General features: G+C 35.9%; 1 long non-coding RNA gene across 12 annotated transcripts in view; it reads left to right on the plus strand.

Moving 5' to 3' along the window:
• The window catches only part of LINC02955 (long intergenic non-protein coding RNA 2955), a 491,729-nt gene that overhangs the window by 455,955 nt on the left and 16,664 nt on the right, over positions 1 to 19,110 (plus strand). For 5 of the 12 annotated variants that reach the window (NR_187503.1, NR_187509.1, NR_187507.1 and 2 more), the window contains 2 exons: positions 11,226 to 11,265; positions 17,576 to 18,312. The exons of 4 other annotated variants lie outside the window; for them this stretch is intronic. This is a non-coding gene — a long non-coding RNA (long intergenic non-protein coding RNA 2955). Of the gene's footprint in view, positions 1 to 11,225; positions 11,266 to 17,575; positions 18,313 to 19,110 lie in introns of those variants that run through there. 3 more of the 12 variants (NR_187508.1, NR_187500.1, NR_187515.1) reach the window with 2 other exon arrangements.

A 19,110-nucleotide genomic window follows, 5' to 3' on the forward strand; every position in this document is an offset into this window, starting at 1 on the left:
CAGAGTCTCACTCTGTTGTCCAGGCTGGAGAGAAGTAGTGTGATCTTGGCTCACTGCAACCTCCACCTCCTGAGTGCAAGCAATTCTCCTGCCACAGCCTCCTGAGTAGCTGGGACTACAAGGCGCCCGCCACCACACCTGGCTAGTTTTTGTATTTTTAGTAGAGATGGGGTTTCACCATATTGGCCAGGCTGGTCTCGAACTCCTGACCTAAAGTTATCTGCCTGCCTTGGCTCCCAAAGTGCTAGGATTACAGGCATGAGCTACCACCCCTGTCCCCTGAATGGGTAATTTCTTTTTTTTTTATTATTATACTTTAAGTTTTAGGGTACACGTGCACAAAGTGCAGGTTAGTTACATATGTTTACATGTGCCATGTTGCTGTGCTGCATCCATTAACTCATCATTTAACATTAGCTATATCTCCTAATGCTATCCCTCCCCCTTCCCCCCACCCCCACAACAGGCCCTGGTGTGTGATGTTCCCCTTCCTGTGTCCATGTGTTCTCATTGTTCAATTCCCACCTATGAGTGAGAACATGGGGTGTTTGTTTTTCTGTCCTTGTGATAGTTTGCTGAGAATGATGGTTTCCAGCTTCATCCATGTCCCTACAAAGAACATGAACTCATCATTTTTTTATGGCTGCATAGTATTCCATGGTGTATATGTGCCACATTTTCTTAATCCAGTCTATCATTGTTGGACATGTGGCTTGGTTCCAAGTCTTTGCTATTGTGAATAGTGCCCCAATAAACATACGTGTGCATGTGTCTTTATAGCAGCATGATTTGTAATCCTTTGGGTATATATCCAGTAATGAGATGGCTGGGTCAAATGGTATTTCTAGTTCTAGATCCCTGAGGAATCGCCACACTGACTTCCACAATGGTTGAACTAGTTTACAGTCCCATCAACAGTGTAAAAATGTTCCTATTTCTCCACATCCTCCCCAGCACCTGTTGTTTCCTGACTTTTTAATGATTGCCATTCTAACTGGTGTGAGATGGTATCTCATTGTGGTTTTGATTTGCATTTCTCTGATGGCCAGTGATGATCAGCATTTTTTATGTGTCTTTTGACTGCATAAATGTCGTCTTTTGAGAATTGTCTGTTCATAAGTTTTGCCCACTTTTTGATGGGGTTGTTTTTTTTCTTGTCAATTTGAGTTCATTGTAGATTCTGGATATTAGCCCTTTGTCAGATGAGTAGATTGCAAAAATTTTCTCCCATTCTGTAGGTTGCCTGTTCACTCTGATGGTAATTTCTTTTGGTGTGCAGAAGCTCTTTAGTTTAATTAGATCCCATTTGTCAATTCTGGCTTTTGTTACCATTGCTTTTGGTGTTTTAGACATGAAGTCCTTGCCCATGCCTATGTCCCGAATGGTATTACCTAGGTTTTCTTCTAGGGTTTTTATGGTTTCAGGTCTAACATTTAAGTCTTTAATCCATCTTGAATTAATTTTTGTGTAAGGTGTAAGGAAGGGATCCAGTTTCAGCTTTCTACATATGGCTAGCCAGTTTTCCCAGTGCCATTTATTAAATACAGAATCCTTGCCTCATTTCTTGTTTTTGTCAGGTTTGTCAAAGATCAGATGGTTGCAGATATGCGGCATTATTTCTGAGGGCTCTGTTCTGTTCCATTGGTCTATATCTCTGTTTTGGTACCAGTACCACACTGTTTTGGTTACTATAGCCTTGTAGTATAGTTTGAAGTCAGGTAGCATGATGCCTCCAGCTTTGTTCTTTTGGCTTAGGATTGACTTGGCAATGCGGGCTCTTTTTTGGTTCCATATGAACTTTAAAGTAGTTTTTTCCAATTCTGTAAAGAAAGTCATTGGTAGCTTGATGGGGATGGCATTGAATGTATAAATTACCTTGGGCAGTATGGCCATTTTCATGATATTGATTCTTCCTACCCATGAGCATAGAATGTTCAACATATTGTTGGAAGTTCTGGCCAGGGCAATCAGGCAGGAGAAGGAAATAAAGGGTTTTCAATTAGGAAAAGAGGAAGTCAAATTATCCCTGTTTGCAGATGACATGATTGTATATCTAGAAAACCCCATCGTCTCAGCCCAATATCTCCTTAAGCTGATAGGCAACTTCAGCAAAGTCTCAGGATACAAAATCAATGTGCAAAAATCACAAGCATTCTTATACACCAATAACAGACAAACAGAGAGCCAAATCATGAGTGAACTCCCATTCACAATTGCTTCAAAGAGAATAAAATACCTAGGAATGCAACTTACAAGGGACGTGAAAGACCTCTTCAAGGAGAACTACAAACCACTGCTCAATGAAATAAAAGAGGATACAAACAAACTGAATGGGTGATTTCTAATGCTCACCACAAAAGCGGATAAAAAATAGTTTGTTTTCTTCTAGGAAAGAAAACAGAGCATATTTGTAGTTTTGACCAAGCGCTGTATTAACTGTATCACCTTTTCACAATATAATCCTCAGGGACTTCAACATCTTGACATTACAGAGAGTATCATGCTAGGCTACTGTATTGATAACATGATGCTAGTCACGTCTAGTGTAGACCATCTCTAGGCTGAACTAACTTTGTTTCACTTCTTTCATGAATACAATCCTGAAATGACCATTGCCCAGTCAATGAGAAAGGTTGTTTTCTAGTTGTTTATTAGGTGAGAAAGCCTGGTACCAGTTACTGTGTTCATGGCTATGATATAACAATTTAATTTTGTATCTGCTTCTGTAAGTAGATTTTAAAAACAAACAAAAATACCTTTATTCATTTTTTTCTAGTTATAGGGTTACCCAAGGTTTCTATTAATTTTTTGAGTCAATTATTATAAATTATAATTTTCTATGCAATTTTCAATTTATTTAATGTTTTTATAAACTTATTCCATAAAGACATTCATCGTATGCTCTTATTATTTTTTAAAATATTGGGAATTTTTCAATCTTTTTAAAATATTTCTTTTCTCGGGACTAATATGTGTATTTTCTTTTTCTTTCTTCCTTTCTTTCTTTCTTTCTTTTTTTTTTTTTTTTTGAGATGGAGTTTCGCTCTTGTTGCCCAGGCTGAAGTGAAATAGCGCAATCTTGGCTCACTGCAACCTCCACCTCCTGGGTTCAAGAGATTCTCTTGCCTCAGCCTCCCAAGTATTTCTTTTTTAAATCAGTTTTGGGAAAAGAGTTCTTATTTTATTAATTATTCCCCCAAAAGCAGCATTTGGATTTTATTTTTTGTTGTTTTATTTGTTTTACTTTTGTTTCTTTGATTTCTACTTCTTTTTTTCCATCCTCACTATTTGTTTCCTTTTTCCTTTCTTTGGGCTTGCAGCCTGTCTAGTTGAATGCTTAGCTCATTAATTTTCAGTCTCTTCTAATATTTTCCTTGAAGGCTATATTTTTTTTATAAATACAGTTAAGCTGTATTCTTTAAGTGAAAACATTGTTGCTTAATTCTAAGCATATTTAAATTTCCATGATTATTTTAATTTGATCCATAAATTATTTTAAATTTTTGAATAATATATAGTTTTCTCATTTTTACAATTTTTAAATTAAGATATAAACATATCATAAAATTCACTCTTTCAAAATGTACTATTCAGTGATTTTTAGTATATTCATGAGGTTGTGCAACTCACCAATATTTAATTCCAGAAAAATTTTATCACTCTAAAAATAAACTGTGTACCCATTAACAGTCATTTTACATTTTTCCCTCCCCCTAGTCCCAGGAAACCACTAACTTTCCATTTCTATAGAATTGCTTATCTTTAATTTTATATAAGTGAAATCATACATTATATGGCATTTTGTGTCTAGCAACTTTCACTTTGCACAATGTTCACAAGGTTCATCCACAGTGTAGCATGTATCAGTATGTCATTCCTTTTTATGGCTGAATAATATTCCATTGTAGGGATATACAGCATTTATTTATTCATCAGTTGATAGGCATCTGTGTTATTTCCACTTTGGGGCTGTATATATAATGCTGCTCTAAACATTTATATATATGTTCTTGTGTGAAAATATGTCTCCAATCTCTTGGGCATTGAATGGAATTGCTGTCATATGGTAATTCCATGTTCATCTTTTTGAAGACCTGTCAAATTATTTTCCAAAGTGACTCAATATTATACATTCTTGCCAGCAATGTATGAAGTTTGCAGTTTCTCCACATGCTTGCTCATATGGTTTGGTTGTGTCCCCACCCAAATCTCATCTTGAATTGTAGCTCCCATAATCCCCACGTGTCATGGGAAGGACCTGGTGAAAAGTAATTGAATCATGAGGGCGGTTTTTCCTGTGCTGTTCTCATGATAGTGAATAAGTCTAATGAGATCCAATGGTTTTACAAAGGGCAATTCCCCTGCACATGCTGTCTTGCCTGCCGTCATGTAAGACATGTCTTTACTCCTCCTTTGCCTTCCACCATGACTGTGAGGCCTCCCCAGCCATGTAGAACTGTGAGTCCATTAAACTTCTTTTTCTGTATAAATTACCCAGTCTGAGATATTTCTTCATGGCAGTATGAAAATGGACTAATACACTTGCTAACACTTTTTATTGTCTATTTTAAAAATTACAGCCACTCCAGTGAGTATGAAGTGGTATTTCATCACAGTTTTAGTTTTCCTAATGACAAATGATGTTGTGTGTCTTTTTGTGTGCTTATCGGCCATTTATATATCTTTTTCTGAAAAATATTTATTCAAATTTCTCAGATTTTAATTTTTTTTTATTTCTTTACATTATCTTAATCTGTCTCATCAGATAATGAGTTTCTTTCATTCCATGGTTGTCTTTTTTATTTTCTTAATGTTGTCTTTTGAAGCACAACATTTGTTGATTTTGATAAAGTCCAACTTACCTATTTTTTTTCCTTTTTGGGTATTTGTGCTTCAGGTGTCATATTTAAGAAACCATTGCCAAATACAAGGTCAAGAAGATTTTTAACTATGTGCTTTTCTATGAGTTTTATAGTTTAGTTCTTACATTGAGGTGTTTGATCCATCTTTTGTTAATTTTTGTATGTGGTGTGAGGTAGGAGTTCAATTTCATTCTTTTGCATATAAATATCTCTTTGTTAAAAAAAAAATTGGTTGGGCGTGATGACTCATGCCTATAATCCTAGCACTTTTGGAGGCCAAAGTGGGCAGATCACAAGGTCATGAGGTTGAGACCATCCTGGCCAACATGGTGAAACCCTGTCTCTACTAAAAATACAAAGAAATTAGCCTGGTGTGGTGGTGCATGCCTGTAGTCCCAGCTGCTCAGGAGGCCGAGGCAGGGGAATTGCTTGAACCCAGGAGGCAGAGGTTGCAGTGAGCCGAGATCGTGCCACTGCACTCCAGCCTGGCAACAGAGCAAGACTCTGTCTCAAAAAAAAAAAAAAAAAATCCTTTCCCCCATTGATTAGTTTCAACACCCTTGTCAAATTCAGTTGACCATATATGCAAGGGTTTCTTTCTAGACTCTGTCCATTTCCATTAGTTTAAATGTCTATTCTAATGCCAGTACCACATTGTCTTGATTATTGCAGCTTTGTAATAACTTTGAAATCAGGAAGTGTGAGCTTTCTAACTGTATTCTTCTTCAAGACTATTTTGGTTATTCTGATTCTCTTGCATGTTAATATAAATTTTAGGTTCACCATGTCAAGTTCTGCAAAAAAAGCAACTAGAATGCTAATAGTGAATGTTTTGAATCAGTTGATCATTTTGAAGCATATTACCATCTTAAAAAAATTTAGTTTCTCAATCCATTAAAATAGAATGTCTTTCGACTTACTTGTCTTCTTTTATTTCTTTCAACAATTTTTTTTAGTGTAAAGGCTTATACTTCTTTTAAAAATTTATTTCTAAGTATCTTATTCTTTTTGATGTTAATTGTCTTAGTCCACTTGTGTTGCTATAAAGGAATACCTGAGGCTGGATAATGTATTGAAGGAAAAAAAAGAGGTTTCTTTGGCTCAGGGCTCATGGTTCTGCAGGCTGTGCAAAAAGCATGGCAGCTCCTGATGAGGGCCCCAGACTGCTTCCACTCCTGGTGGAAGGTAAAGGGAAATCAGAATGTACAGAGATAACATGGCAAGAAACAAAGTAAGAGAGAGAGAAGTGGAGCAGGTGCCAGGTTCTTTTCAATAACCAGTTCTTCTGGGCAGAACTAGAAGTGAGAACTCATTTCTGTGAGAATGGCACCAAGCTATTAGTGAGCAGTCTGCCCCCGTGACCCAAACATCCTGAAACACCCAGGCCCATCTCCAACATTAGGGATCAAATTTCAACATGAGAGTTGGTGAGGCCAAACAGATCATATCCAAACCATGGCACTAATGCAATAGAATTTTTTTTTTATGCAATAGAATTTTTAAAGTTTCATTTTCAGCTTGCTAATTGCTAGTGTATAGAAATAAAATTGATGTATGCATATTGATTTTGTATCTTGCAACCTTGCTAAACTTGACTATTAGTTCTCATATTTTTATTGAACTTTTAGAATTTTCTATATACAAGATTGTGTCATCTGCAAACAGAGATAGTTTAACTTCCTTTCTAATCTGGACACATTTTACTTCCTTTTCTTACCTAATTGCTCTGGCTTAATCCCCAGCATGATAGTAAAGAGGAGTGACACAAGTGGATAACATTGTCTTAATTCCTGATCTTAGAATGCTTTTATCCTTTCATCATTAATTTTTATTAATTGTAGGTTTTTCATAAGTGCTTTGTTGAGGAGCATTTATGTTGCGGAGGTTCCATTCTACCCCTAGTTTTTTTGTTGTTTGTTTGTTTGTTTTTATCATGAAAGGATATTGGATCTTTTCAATTGCTTTTATGCAACTAAAAGCATGATTATTGAGACAATCATGTGGGTTTTTTGTCCTTTATTCTGTTATTATGACACCACAGTATTCAGACAGATTTTTGTATGTTCAACTAACCTTTCATTCCTGTGATAAATCCCACTTGGTGATGTTATATAATTCTTTTTATATGTTGCTGGATTCAGTTTGATAGTATTTTGTTTAGGATTTTTTTAATCTATAATTTTAAAAGATATTGGTCTAAAGTTTTCTTTTTGTAGGTAGTTTTTTTCTGGTTTCTGTAACACGTAAATACTGGCCTCATAGAATAAGGTGGAAAGTGATCGCTTCTCTTCTATTTTTCTAAGAGTTTGTGAAGTATCAGTGTTAATTTTTCTTTGAGTGTTTTTAGAATTCACCAGCAAAGCTATTCTTGGGCTTTTCTTTGAGGGAATTTTGTTTATTATTTAAATCTCTAATCCCTTAACTTGTTTTGTTTTTTGTTTGAGACAGAGCCTCATTCTGTCGCCTAGGCTGGAGTGCAGTGGTACCATCTCGGCTCACTGCAACCTCTGCCTCCGGGGTTCCAGTGATTCGCCTGACTCACTGGGATTACAGGTGCACCACCAAGCTCAGCTAATTTTTGTATTTTTATAGAGACAGGGTTTCACCATGTTGGCCAGGCTCGAACTCCTGGTTTCAAGTGATCCGCCGGCCTCAGCTTTCCAAAGTGCTGGGATTACAGGCATGAGCCACTACGGCTACCCCACCTACTCTCTTCATTTGTTATAGTACTTTTCATATATTTAATTTCTCCATGAGTCAATTTCAATAGTTCATGTCTTTCTAAGAATTTGTCCATCTCATTTAAGCTACCTAATTTGTTGATATATGATTGTGTATGATATTCCATTATAATCTTTTTCTTCCTTGAAAGGTTATTTTTTAGAATACATCTCAATTTATCTTAATTACATTAAAAGAATGAAGTCTATATTTTACCAATTTTGTTACTTCATGGAGTGATTTGGTTTCTGTATCTTTGCATCCAATTTTCATATAGCTCCGTGTATACTTAAAAACAAAGAATAGTCTCTAACTTTAAGTATATTTTAAGTTATATTCTCTAATTTTGTAATAGGATTCTATACGTGTTCTTTAGACTAAAACTGTTAATTGGTGTATTTAATATTCTTAGTACTTTTTTATCTTCTTGATTTATTAATGAGAGAGGTCTGTTAAATTTGAACACTATGTGACTTGTTAATTTTCCCTGTGATTTTTGATATCATTACATTACATATTTTGACATTTCTTTGTAAGGATTATAGAAATTTAGGATTATGTAGTCCTAGGAAATCTTTCCTTGATAATTAGGAAGTAATCTTCTTAATTATCAGTAATTATTTTTCAAAATATGTTTTGTTTTATACAAATGTTGTGACTATTCTAGGCTTTTTAAATATTACTTACTTGTGATTATTTCTGTTCTTTCTTTCAGCCTTGCTGTATTATGATTTAGGTGTGACTCAGTAAAAAAAAAATCAGTTAGGTTTTTAAAACACCTGACTTTCTGGGGACCCTCTTTTATTTTGCCTGGATTGGTTAATCCACCAATAATTACCTTTATTATTATTTCTAACACACCTAAATACAGTTTTACAACTGTATTTACTTTTTCTATTTTCTATGATTTTCCTTGCTATTTTATTGAATTCTCTTCTTGCTTTACATTGAATTGATCAGATTTTATTTTATTACCCTTTCTTCTGTATTGATTTATATGTTAAATATCCATTCTTTTTCTATTCCCACAGCAGTTTTTGAATTTTAATTTCTACACTTGACCTAGAGAGTCTAAGGCTAATCAATAGCTTTCTCCTTCTCCTAATCAATACCAGAATCTTAGAATGTTTTAAGTGCATCACAATCATCGCACATTATACCCACTCCAACTCCATTCCTAGAATCTTAGATTATAATTTTCTATAGAAGTTTAGTTTTATATCTTTTTGTATGTGTTCAATTAATAATTATTATTAATTATATGTGGTTAATTATATTTAACTTGACCTACATGCTTCCTATATTTTTTGCTATGTATTGTTTCTTAGATTCTTCTCTTTTCTTGTTTACCAATTTTTCATTAAAAATGTAGTTAGCATTTCTTTCTATAATTAATTGTTATTTACATACCCTATCATTCTTTTTCTTAGGGAAATAGTTGTATTTTACCCCTACTCTTAGTTTAGCTGGGTATTAAACTCTAGGCTGGAGATTTTGTTATTTGTGGATATTATTCCTTTGTTTGGATTTTTTTTGGAAAAAGTCTGCTCTTAGTCTACTTGTTTCTGTGTAGATAATTTGAAAAATATAATTGTTCACGATGATGTTATCTTTGTCTTTAAAGTTTTGCATTTTTATTACAATGTGTCTAGACTGTATTTAGATTGGGTTTCCCAGAAGCAGATATAGGGGTATGGATTTGTGTAGTAGTATTCTGTCTTTTTTTAAAGGAGTGATCCCAGGAAAAATCAATAGGGAAATAAAATAACAAGACAAGAAGTGGATAGACGCCAAGCAACACTGTGACTTCTAGCAAAGTTCCAGACAGGATAACTTAGTCTCATTAACTCAGGAAATTTTTCCCACTGGAATCAGTTTTGGTCATACTTCAGAGCTGTCTCAATCAGGGTGCATGGTGGATATCCTATTCCTATATGCTGAACCATCAGCAATAAGTTAAAGGCTGCCCTTAAAGGAATAGAATGTGAATTTCCAGGTACTCTGATTCTTCATGAACAAAGGTATTTAGGCTCCCACAACCTGAGGATGGCACTCTGCCAGAAAGTTGCAGGTGCTGGATTTGGGAATGAAGTCACACCTGGAGCTAATATGGGAGTGGGAGATCAGGGGAATACGGGCAGAGCATTCCAGCATCTTGTAGAGATGGGAATTACCATTGTTCTTCTCTTCAATCGTCATGATTGTTGAATCTGAAGATATATGTCATTTAGAAAAGGTCTCAACATTTTTTCTGAAAGTGTTCTGCTACCATTATCTCTAATCTGTCGCAGAAATTATATTTGGTGCCTGTTTATCTTATCTTTCTATTTTAATAATTTTTTGGCTTGTAACTGATCTGCTTTTTAACCTGTCCATTGAGTTTTAAATTTCAAAACTATAAATATATTATTTCTTAGTGTCATTGCTGCTTTTTAATTTGCTTTTTGATAGTGTTTTATTCTTGCTTTATGGTTTTATTCCTTTTGTTATCACTTTAAACATATTTACTTTTATATATTTTTCAGATTTTTTTGTAATCTTAAATTTGGGGATTATGTTTATTTAATCTTGCTGATGCAGGATTGTTCCTGTGTATATTCTTAAAAATATTTGATTGTGAGGTCATCAGAAATAAGGATTTTGTGTGTGTGTGTGTGTGAGAGAGAGAGAGAGAGAGAGAGAGAGAGAGAGAGACAGAGAGACAGAGAGAAAAGGAGAGCGAGAGAGATAGGGAGAGAGAGTTTCTCCAAAGGAGTTTTGAATTTGCATTTATTTACACAAGATGTCTGGGACTGATTTTTTTCCGCATACTTCCTGGTTTGAAGGGGTTTCCATGCCCCTCCAAATTGCGCAGAATCAAGCTCCATTTGCTCATGGCTCCTCTTATCAATTTTTCATGGTAGTAGTATTTTTTTTTTTTTTGGCTCATATTCCTATACAGAGGCAAGGTTCCTTGCCATTTCCCTGGGCCAATGGGTATGCATTTCCAGTATCTATTGTCACTAAGATGAAACCCTTGATTTTTTGGGCTTATAAGATTCTCATTTCTACCTTCCTACTCAAATATGCCCAAAGTGCCATCTCTTTTCATGACATTTACTGAGTTTTAAAGTTAATCCTCTAGGTATTAAACTCCAGGTCACAACAGTATCTTTTTTTTTTTTTTTTTTTGGATTTTTAGTAGAGACAGGGTTTCACCATATTGGCCAGGCTGGTCTCGAGCTCCTGACCTCAGGTGATCAGCCTGACTCGGCCTCCCAAAGTGCTGGGATTACAGGCGTGAGCCACACAACAGTATCTTCTAACACAGGCACTTGCTGGATTTTAGATTCATTTTTACTTCTAACATCCAGGTATTTCTTTGTGTTTGTATGTGTGAGTTTGTGTGTGTGTGTGTGTGTGTCTATGTATTTTTCCTCATATATCTATTTAGAAAGATTGAGGAAGGTTCTGGAATACTTAGCGCATCATGCAGCTAGGATAGATTCCTTCTGAAGGGAAATGACAACTGAAAATCCAATTATTTTGTCCAAAAGATTAGGAGTGCAGTCTTATTGAGTTACTAACTGAAAAATGTCCCTAAGTTTGGGTAAGGAGGTAGGGTTCAAATTCTACTATAATCTTTATCTTTCTCTTTCTCAGGTTGAAGATCATCTCTTCTTTTTTTCATGGTGTTAAGCATGTACGTATGTAACACCTGGTACTCTTTACTCCCAAAGAATACATATAAAAATGTATTTTATTTGATTTTCCAAAAAGTTGAGTATAGCAACCTGAAATCTCAGTGGTTTCAGTTCCCTGTGTAAAACACAGTACAGGTTATCACAAGTCATTGGTTCATTGGCTGCAGATTGACACAGGAATGTGCTTTTAAAACAATAACAATATTGTCCCATAGCTTTTGTCTTCTTCACTGTATGCAATCCTTGATTAGCTTAGTGGGAAATACTATGTCAGAAACTTTCAAATTTAAACAAGGATGCTGACATTTGTTGAGTGTTTAAATCAGTGTTCCAGGCACTTGGCATATCTTATGTTATCCTTGTTATCAACTGAGCATTGAAGTATTATTACTCATTTTGTAAAAATAGAGAACTGAGACTCATATAAGTTCATAAATATATCCTAGGTCATGTATCTAATAATTATATGACTCCAAAGCATCTACTCTTTGCACTATGCCACTGATCATAACGCAAGGGATTTCAGAAAATGTGGAAAGAAATGGCATCAATCAGGATGTATTTTCAGTTTAAAAATCACTTAAATAAGAAGGGGATTTAATACTGGGAATTAGGAGTTTGCAAACCAGTAGACTAACTAGAAGAGCAGGCTCCGTGTTAGAACCCAGGAACAACTCACAGATCAGTAACATAGAACTGGCTCCCCAGGGAGCCACAATCAGAAACAGGGAACCAGGAATCCACCACCTTGACTGTACACTCCAGAGGCACACTTTTTAGGTATGATTCAGGTCAGGGCATTGCATCCACACCTGTTGGCTTCATAATCATGCTTTCTCAGCATGTAGTAATTGTCCCTCACCTTGCCTTAGGACATCAGGAATATCTGCTAGCACTACTACAGCAAAACTCAGTATTTCCAGGACTGTGCTTGCCAACGTGGTAAACAGAAATGGTAAAATAGTGACTTTTGCCTCAATTTCAGTTTCCAAATCTTTCACAAGTATAGCTGATGTGATAAACCCAAAGCATATCTGGAGTCCTAGCTGCAAAGGAGTCAAGCAAAAGTGGTTTTTAACTTCATAGCTTCTGCAGCACAGAAAGGCACACAAGGAGCAGTATGGAATGAAGATTGAGTACAGATTCACTGTATTCACCTCACTGAGGATAATAATGGAAAGACTCATGGGGGATATTCCTTCAAAGATGTGAATTTGGTAAAAATTGGAAAAGTGAATCCACCCAAGGTAACAAGCAAAACCTCACAAGGAAGAAATTGAAAAAACTATTCTCCTCAGAAATGCCTCATGGAAAACCTACACTGGGAGGCCTATTGACCAGAACAAAACCAGGAATACAGACTTTAAGCTACATTATTCTTCATGATTTATGACCACCAAATATTTTATTATTTTTACCAGTTGAAGTAAAAATTTAAAGTTTTTCTAATTAAAAAGTGAAATATATTAAACTTCTATAAATAAGTTTCAGTATTATTGTTAGTAATATGAATTAGTATATGTATCATACTTTGCAGAGAAAGTTAAAAATAGTAAAAACCAATAATCAGCAAAATTATTTTACTTTTTTCTGCTTAATTGACAATAATAGCCTTCCCCAGATAGGCTACAAACGTTTTTCCTCTCTTCAGGATTTCTACATTGCTTTAATATATCTTTCATTAATAACCTAAGGAAATGAATGCATATTCTTTGAGGAGCAACTGGATTCTTAACAAACATTCCCACGAAATCAAACCAAAATGGGAGGTAGGTTGTGAAGTTGTGTTCAGTTTGCTGTCTGATTTTCATTAGACTCATCATTCTACATTCTTTTGAGTCCTAGGCACTTGGTCTCTGGCTATTTTCATGACTGCTGTAATGGAATTACCATTTCAAGTTTGTAGGAGGTAAAGGAGAAACATGATAGGAATAGCAGGAAGGAATGGCTCACTCATAAACAATCTACTGGAATTTTGAATTGATTAGGTTTGAGTGGCTAAAAGGGAAGAGTGGGGAAATGTACTCTAGTTTTCTTTTCCTCCAGTTTCCTGTTGCATTATGTGGCTTCTTGAATGTTGCATAATATAAATCATCTAACCACTGGAAGACAAGTTTTAGCATTGCAAACTCAGCAGATTTACTTAATTTCATTTTTCCAGTTGGATATCTGCATCAATTCAGGCCAAGAGAGTATCTCATGTCACCTAATGCAACAAATAGATCCTGGAGCATTCATGGCGATATCCGCAATGTTGGCAGATGAATGTTTTCTTTCCTCTGCCAAGCACCATCAACATTATTTTTGGGTGGATCTAAATCTGAACAGTCTAGAGTTTCCATTACATCGTCCTAATTGTTAAAAAGAGGGCCTGCTATAATTCTTGAAAACTAGTCTGTTTAGTTGTACTTGTTACCATAACATCAGATTGAAATATTGCTTCTCTGTCCGTTTGGCCACAGTGTAGCAGCCAGCCTGGTAGCATCAAGGCATTAGGAAGGTGAAGCAATCCACAGTCAACAGTATGAATGGAACAATTCACACTGTTGTACATAGATATAGAGGTTAAACCCAAACACATGAAAAAGTGATGCTGGAAGCACTTGTGAACAGCTGGGCCAGATGAATAACTCAATTGGATGCCATGAGGAACAAATTAAACAACTGACTGGAGACCAGGCTGCTCCTGTGACAGACACTTTAATCAGGAAGTCAAAAGCTGATTGACAAGATGAAAAGCTGGATGACATGAAAAATGGAAACAGAAGGAACAACACAAGAAAAGGGCACCCGGGTCAGCATGCTGACAAAAATAATCAAGTACGACAGGCCATAATCCAATCTTCGAATGTTTGGCATGGTGCTAGTTATGAGAATCTGCAGCCAAGAGGAAAGAAAACTATTATTAAGCAAAGAAATTATCTGGCTTTCTAGAATTCACTATTACATGTTCACTAGAGGATTTTCTTTTTCTTTTTTTTTTAAACAAGCATAATAGCTTTTGTTGAGTTTCATAAGATCAATTAAAAAGTGCTAATCTATCTGGATATGAAGCCCTAGGAAAACAATGTATAATAGTGTTTTAGATTCAGAGTTAAATAGGATATACACATTCATTGCCTCAAATTGCAAAGTGTGGGTCCTTCTCATGCTCTCCTATTCAAGGCATAGAAGAGGAAGAGTAGCAATTACTAAGAGGAGGTTTCTGTGGCCCACTTAAAAACTCTTATGCTGGATTATTACTGTTGAATTACTGTTGGAATCCAAGGCTGAGCTTCATGCCAGAGAAAAAATTTGTCTGTGCTACATGAATTATTTTTTAGATGACTCAGAATACCACCTGCATCCCAAAAGATACATTCATAAATGCACTATCTGAAGAAGAATGAAATAATGATCAGGTGTTTTTTTAAAAAAGACAGATAACATAGAAGTTTGTCACTCCTGGGAAAAACGTGTGTATTTATGCATGTTTCAGCTCTCATAGCACTTTAATTTCAATAGCATATAATTTACCAGAGGAGGGCCCAGAAGATTAAGCACCTTGGTGGTGTTTAGACATTGTCACTTCATGCCTTTTCAGTAAACTCATCTGCCTTTGGAAAAACAGAAAACTTGCAGTAAACATTGAAAGGCCAGTTGACACTATCTCCCTTGGATCCCTACACTGGAGCTAAACCTACATCTCAAGAGAAAAGAAGGGATTCATTGTCTTAGTCCACTGGTTTTCAAACCATGTTTCAAATCTCTAGGGTTTTTGAAAGAAAAGTATGGTCACAGAGGACATGTTTCATTTGTATCTGCTCCATTAGCTCCAGATCCCATAGGTTTTGGAGTTCTGGGGCATTAAAAACACCGTCGAAAGGGTTCCTGGCCTCAAAAATGTGTAAAAGAAAAACACCACTTTGATGATATTACTCTTAGGTGAGGACGCCATTGTTTGACAGAATATATTCAGCTCAAACTGGAAGACCAAGCTGGTGTATTTCACTCGGATAAAGTACCTTATAGAAAGCCAAACCGAATGTCTTATCCATACCATTCTAGAGGCACCTGGCTTATAGTTGATTATTTTTCATTTTATAGAATTTGCTAGAGGGCTTCATTGCAGATCTTAAAACTTGAGTCTTACTTCTGCCATATAGTTAAGTTCACTTGAGTCATGACTGTCTAAGGAACTAGCTTCTTCCCACTGCCTTTACGGACATACGTCTAAAGTGTCAAATAAGTAACCACAAAGACATTTAATTTTCCTGTGAGGTCAGGGCTGACCCCGGAGTCTTACTAAGGTAAAAGCATCTTAAAGGGTAACACAGAAATTTTATTATGTCCTCAAAGCCTAGAGCCATACAACGTTAAGCATGGTAGGAGAAAAAATGTATCTACTGAATTTCTATTCTGGGTTCACCTGGAGTGTTTTGAAGGTCTGACCCACCATGCTCTACCCCTCTGCTATAAAAGGGAACTACATATATGAACCAAAAATTACCTGGGCCAACCTCGCTTCTTAAACCTGTTTTACTTTGATCATGCTTCTACCTGCCTGCAAACTCCCAACTCTGTGATCCCAGCGTCATCCCTACTGCAATTCTCAGGACTCAATGTTTATATGTGCTTGCTCCAGATTTTGTTGTTTTCCCAGGTCTTTGCCTTCATTGCTTCCTGACACTGCTATTGCCACCTCCATCTGCCAGGCTCCTCCTAATCCTGATCTTGTAACACTCAATCCCCGCCCGCTGTAACTCAGTCTTTTCTGGCCTCATGGAGGGTTGGTGGCAGAAGGTGATAGAGGCTATTAGTGAAGTGGGGAAATGTGGCAGATTGGGACAATTGCATCATTCACAGCAGTATTTAAAAAAAATTTATTTGGAATTTCCTTCAAATATCAGATGATGAAATAGAATATAAAAGTTTATATATATAGTTTATAAAAGACTTCATGCTAAAATATGAAGAATTCAGAGGAGAGAGAGCTCAACATTCAATACATTGTAAAATAGTGTATGTAAATATGGTTCAAGCTATTTAATTTATTTGACCTATCGTGTGTGATTTGGGTGACATGAAGCTGAATGATGGTTGTAGTGAGATCTTCAACTTTTCCCTTGCCATTAATCTTTATAATATACCAGCCACCGAGACCCATCATTTATTCCTATTATGAAATGTGTTTTATATTTAGTCTCCATTTCATTTTTAGCATCACTATTCTGAGCCTCCAATTTTATGTGGTACATGAGAGAAAGGCTGGATCAGAGGCACAAAGCATCAAGAAGACAATAATACCTTCTGTGTCATATATTTAAAAGTAAAAACAACATAAAATTAAAAAGAAATATATGTAGTAAATTCTGATAAAGTTTTGAATTTTCATTTAGTGACTATTTCAATGTCTTTTTTGAAAATCAAATATCAAAATTTTTAGTTTTTGTTCAATGCCCTAATTTACTGGTGTCCAAAACATATCTTTAAAGGTTAATTGGATAGTCCATCACTGTATGGGGGCTATATTAATATACTTTACAATACCAGAAACTATATATATAAAACATAGAAGAATGTAGAAAAACATACTATAATGTAGAAGTCACATGTTGCTGAGAATTTAATACCCTGACCCCTTATATTATTATAAATTCCTAGTTTACATACTTTCAAAGGCCAGCCATTGCCCACAAATCAATAGTTTAATCTTGTATTGGATATCCTTTACTATCTAGTGACACAGAAGAAAGAAGAAACCTGACATTCATTAACCTACTAACTTTAATACATTATACTATTTAGTCCTACAAATATCATAAGGCAAATATTTAAAATAATTTAAATAACCTGTTCAAGGTCACACGATGACTTAATGGTAAATCCAAGACTCAAAACCAGGACTATCTCTTCATCAGATTGGACTAGGGTATGACATAGAGACCAACAAAAGTGGGACATTCAAGGCTGCATTGTTGACAAGGTTTGAGCAAGTGGGGAAATTAGAGAATAAACGGTCATTGGGAAATCTCATATTTTGAGTTTGATATCAGAGTAGATCACTAATACACTACCATGGAGTTACAGCCAGAGTCAAGCAGTAGAGGTCGAAGACTAAGGTCAAGTTCAAATCCCAGATAAAAATCAAACATGAACGCATCTGATAGATATTTACTCTGGTAGGTTCTTTAATGATTACAAATTCCTTCCATTCCAGTAAGGATATCCTTTTGCATTGTGACTTTGCTGTTCCTCCCATCCAGAATTAGATATGTTCCTTCACTCCCTTGAATAGGGACCGATGTTGTGACTCTCTTTCACCAACAGAATATGGCGTAAGTGACATTTTACAAGTTCCAGAGCCTGGGACTCAAGATGTCTTGGAGATTCTGTCTTTGCAGTCTTATAATGATGCCCTGAGATCATCATTAAAGAAAGCCAGTCTGGCCTACTGAGGATGAGAAGCTACATAAAGGAGAATGAAGATTCCCCAGCCAACAGGCAATATCAGTGGTCAGATATGTGAATAAAGCCATGTTGAACCTCTCGGCTAGACGACCCTCCAGCATATGAAACCAGCAGATGAATATCCCAGCCTGCCTGAAGAACTGTACAGGAAATAAGAAATCATTGTTTTTTAAGCCACTGGGTTGGTGGGTGGTTTGTTACATTGAAATTGTTAACTAAAACAGAAATTGGTGCATAGAGGTCAGGTGCTGTCATAATAAAAATCTAAAACATATACTGTTGGCTTTGGTGATGGGAGTGATTGGTAGCTAAAGAGGCAGTGAAACAATGATTAGTAGATACTGGGAAGTTAATAAGGAAATTTCTATTGGAGGGTGGAGAAAGGGCCACCCTTGTTATATAGTGGCCAAAGAATCAGCAAAATGTTGCCTGCTGCAACCTGGAAAGTAGAAACTTTTCTTAAACTCACGGATCTGGCTGGGAGATTTCCAGGATGCATGCAACAAATGTGAATCAACTTTGTATAGCTGTGTATAATAAAGTGTGCTGTATTTGTCCATTCTGATGCTGCTAATAAAGACATACCTGAGACTGAATAATTTATAAAGGAAAGAGGTTTAATTGACACATGAGGCCTCAGGAAACTTACAATCGTGGTGGAAGGGGAAGCAAACACATCCTTCTTCACATGGCAGCAGGAAGGAGAATGAATGACCAGTGAAGGGGAAAATCCCTTATAAAACCATCAGATCTTGTGAGAACGAAGTCAGTATCATGAGAACAGGATGGGGGAAGCTGCCCCCATCATTCAATTATCTCCACCTGGTCCCTCCCCCATAACACGTGGGGATTATGGAAACTACAATTGAAGATGAGATTTGGGCGGGGACATACCAAAACCATATTATGTGGGAAGAGAGATTAATTAAAAAAGCAACTTTTCAATTTGCAAGCAGAATTTAGAGAAAATATAGAAAACCCAGGATGAGCTGGATTGAAAAAGATTATCAAAGAAAATTTTAATATAGGTAAAAATTTAATTCCAGAAGACAGTCAATAAAATGTGGCCTCAATGGTAAGATCAAATAGAAGGATGTGGCTGTTAGGCCCTAACAAAATAACCCAGAATGATTTCTTATAGAGTATTTAGTAGACCTCTCATCTAAACAAATGATTGTCTATGAATCCAGACCCATCACTCAAATAGGCCCATCATCCAAATTAGAGAGAGGCCTACCTTGACAAGAATAGTAAGCCTGGCTGTCATCTAACAGAGTAGAATTTAATCTGATCCATAGAAATCCCATAAGGAATTTTAAAGGAACTATATTGATTTGGATTAAAAGGGACAGAGACAGTTCAAGAAGACTCCATGCCATCAATTTCCTACAGAC

Source organism: Homo sapiens, chromosome 12 (genome assembly GCF_000001405.40).
Source record: "Homo sapiens chromosome 12, GRCh38.p14 Primary Assembly".
Taxonomy (NCBI): Eukaryota; Metazoa; Chordata; class Mammalia; order Primates; family Hominidae; genus Homo; species Homo sapiens.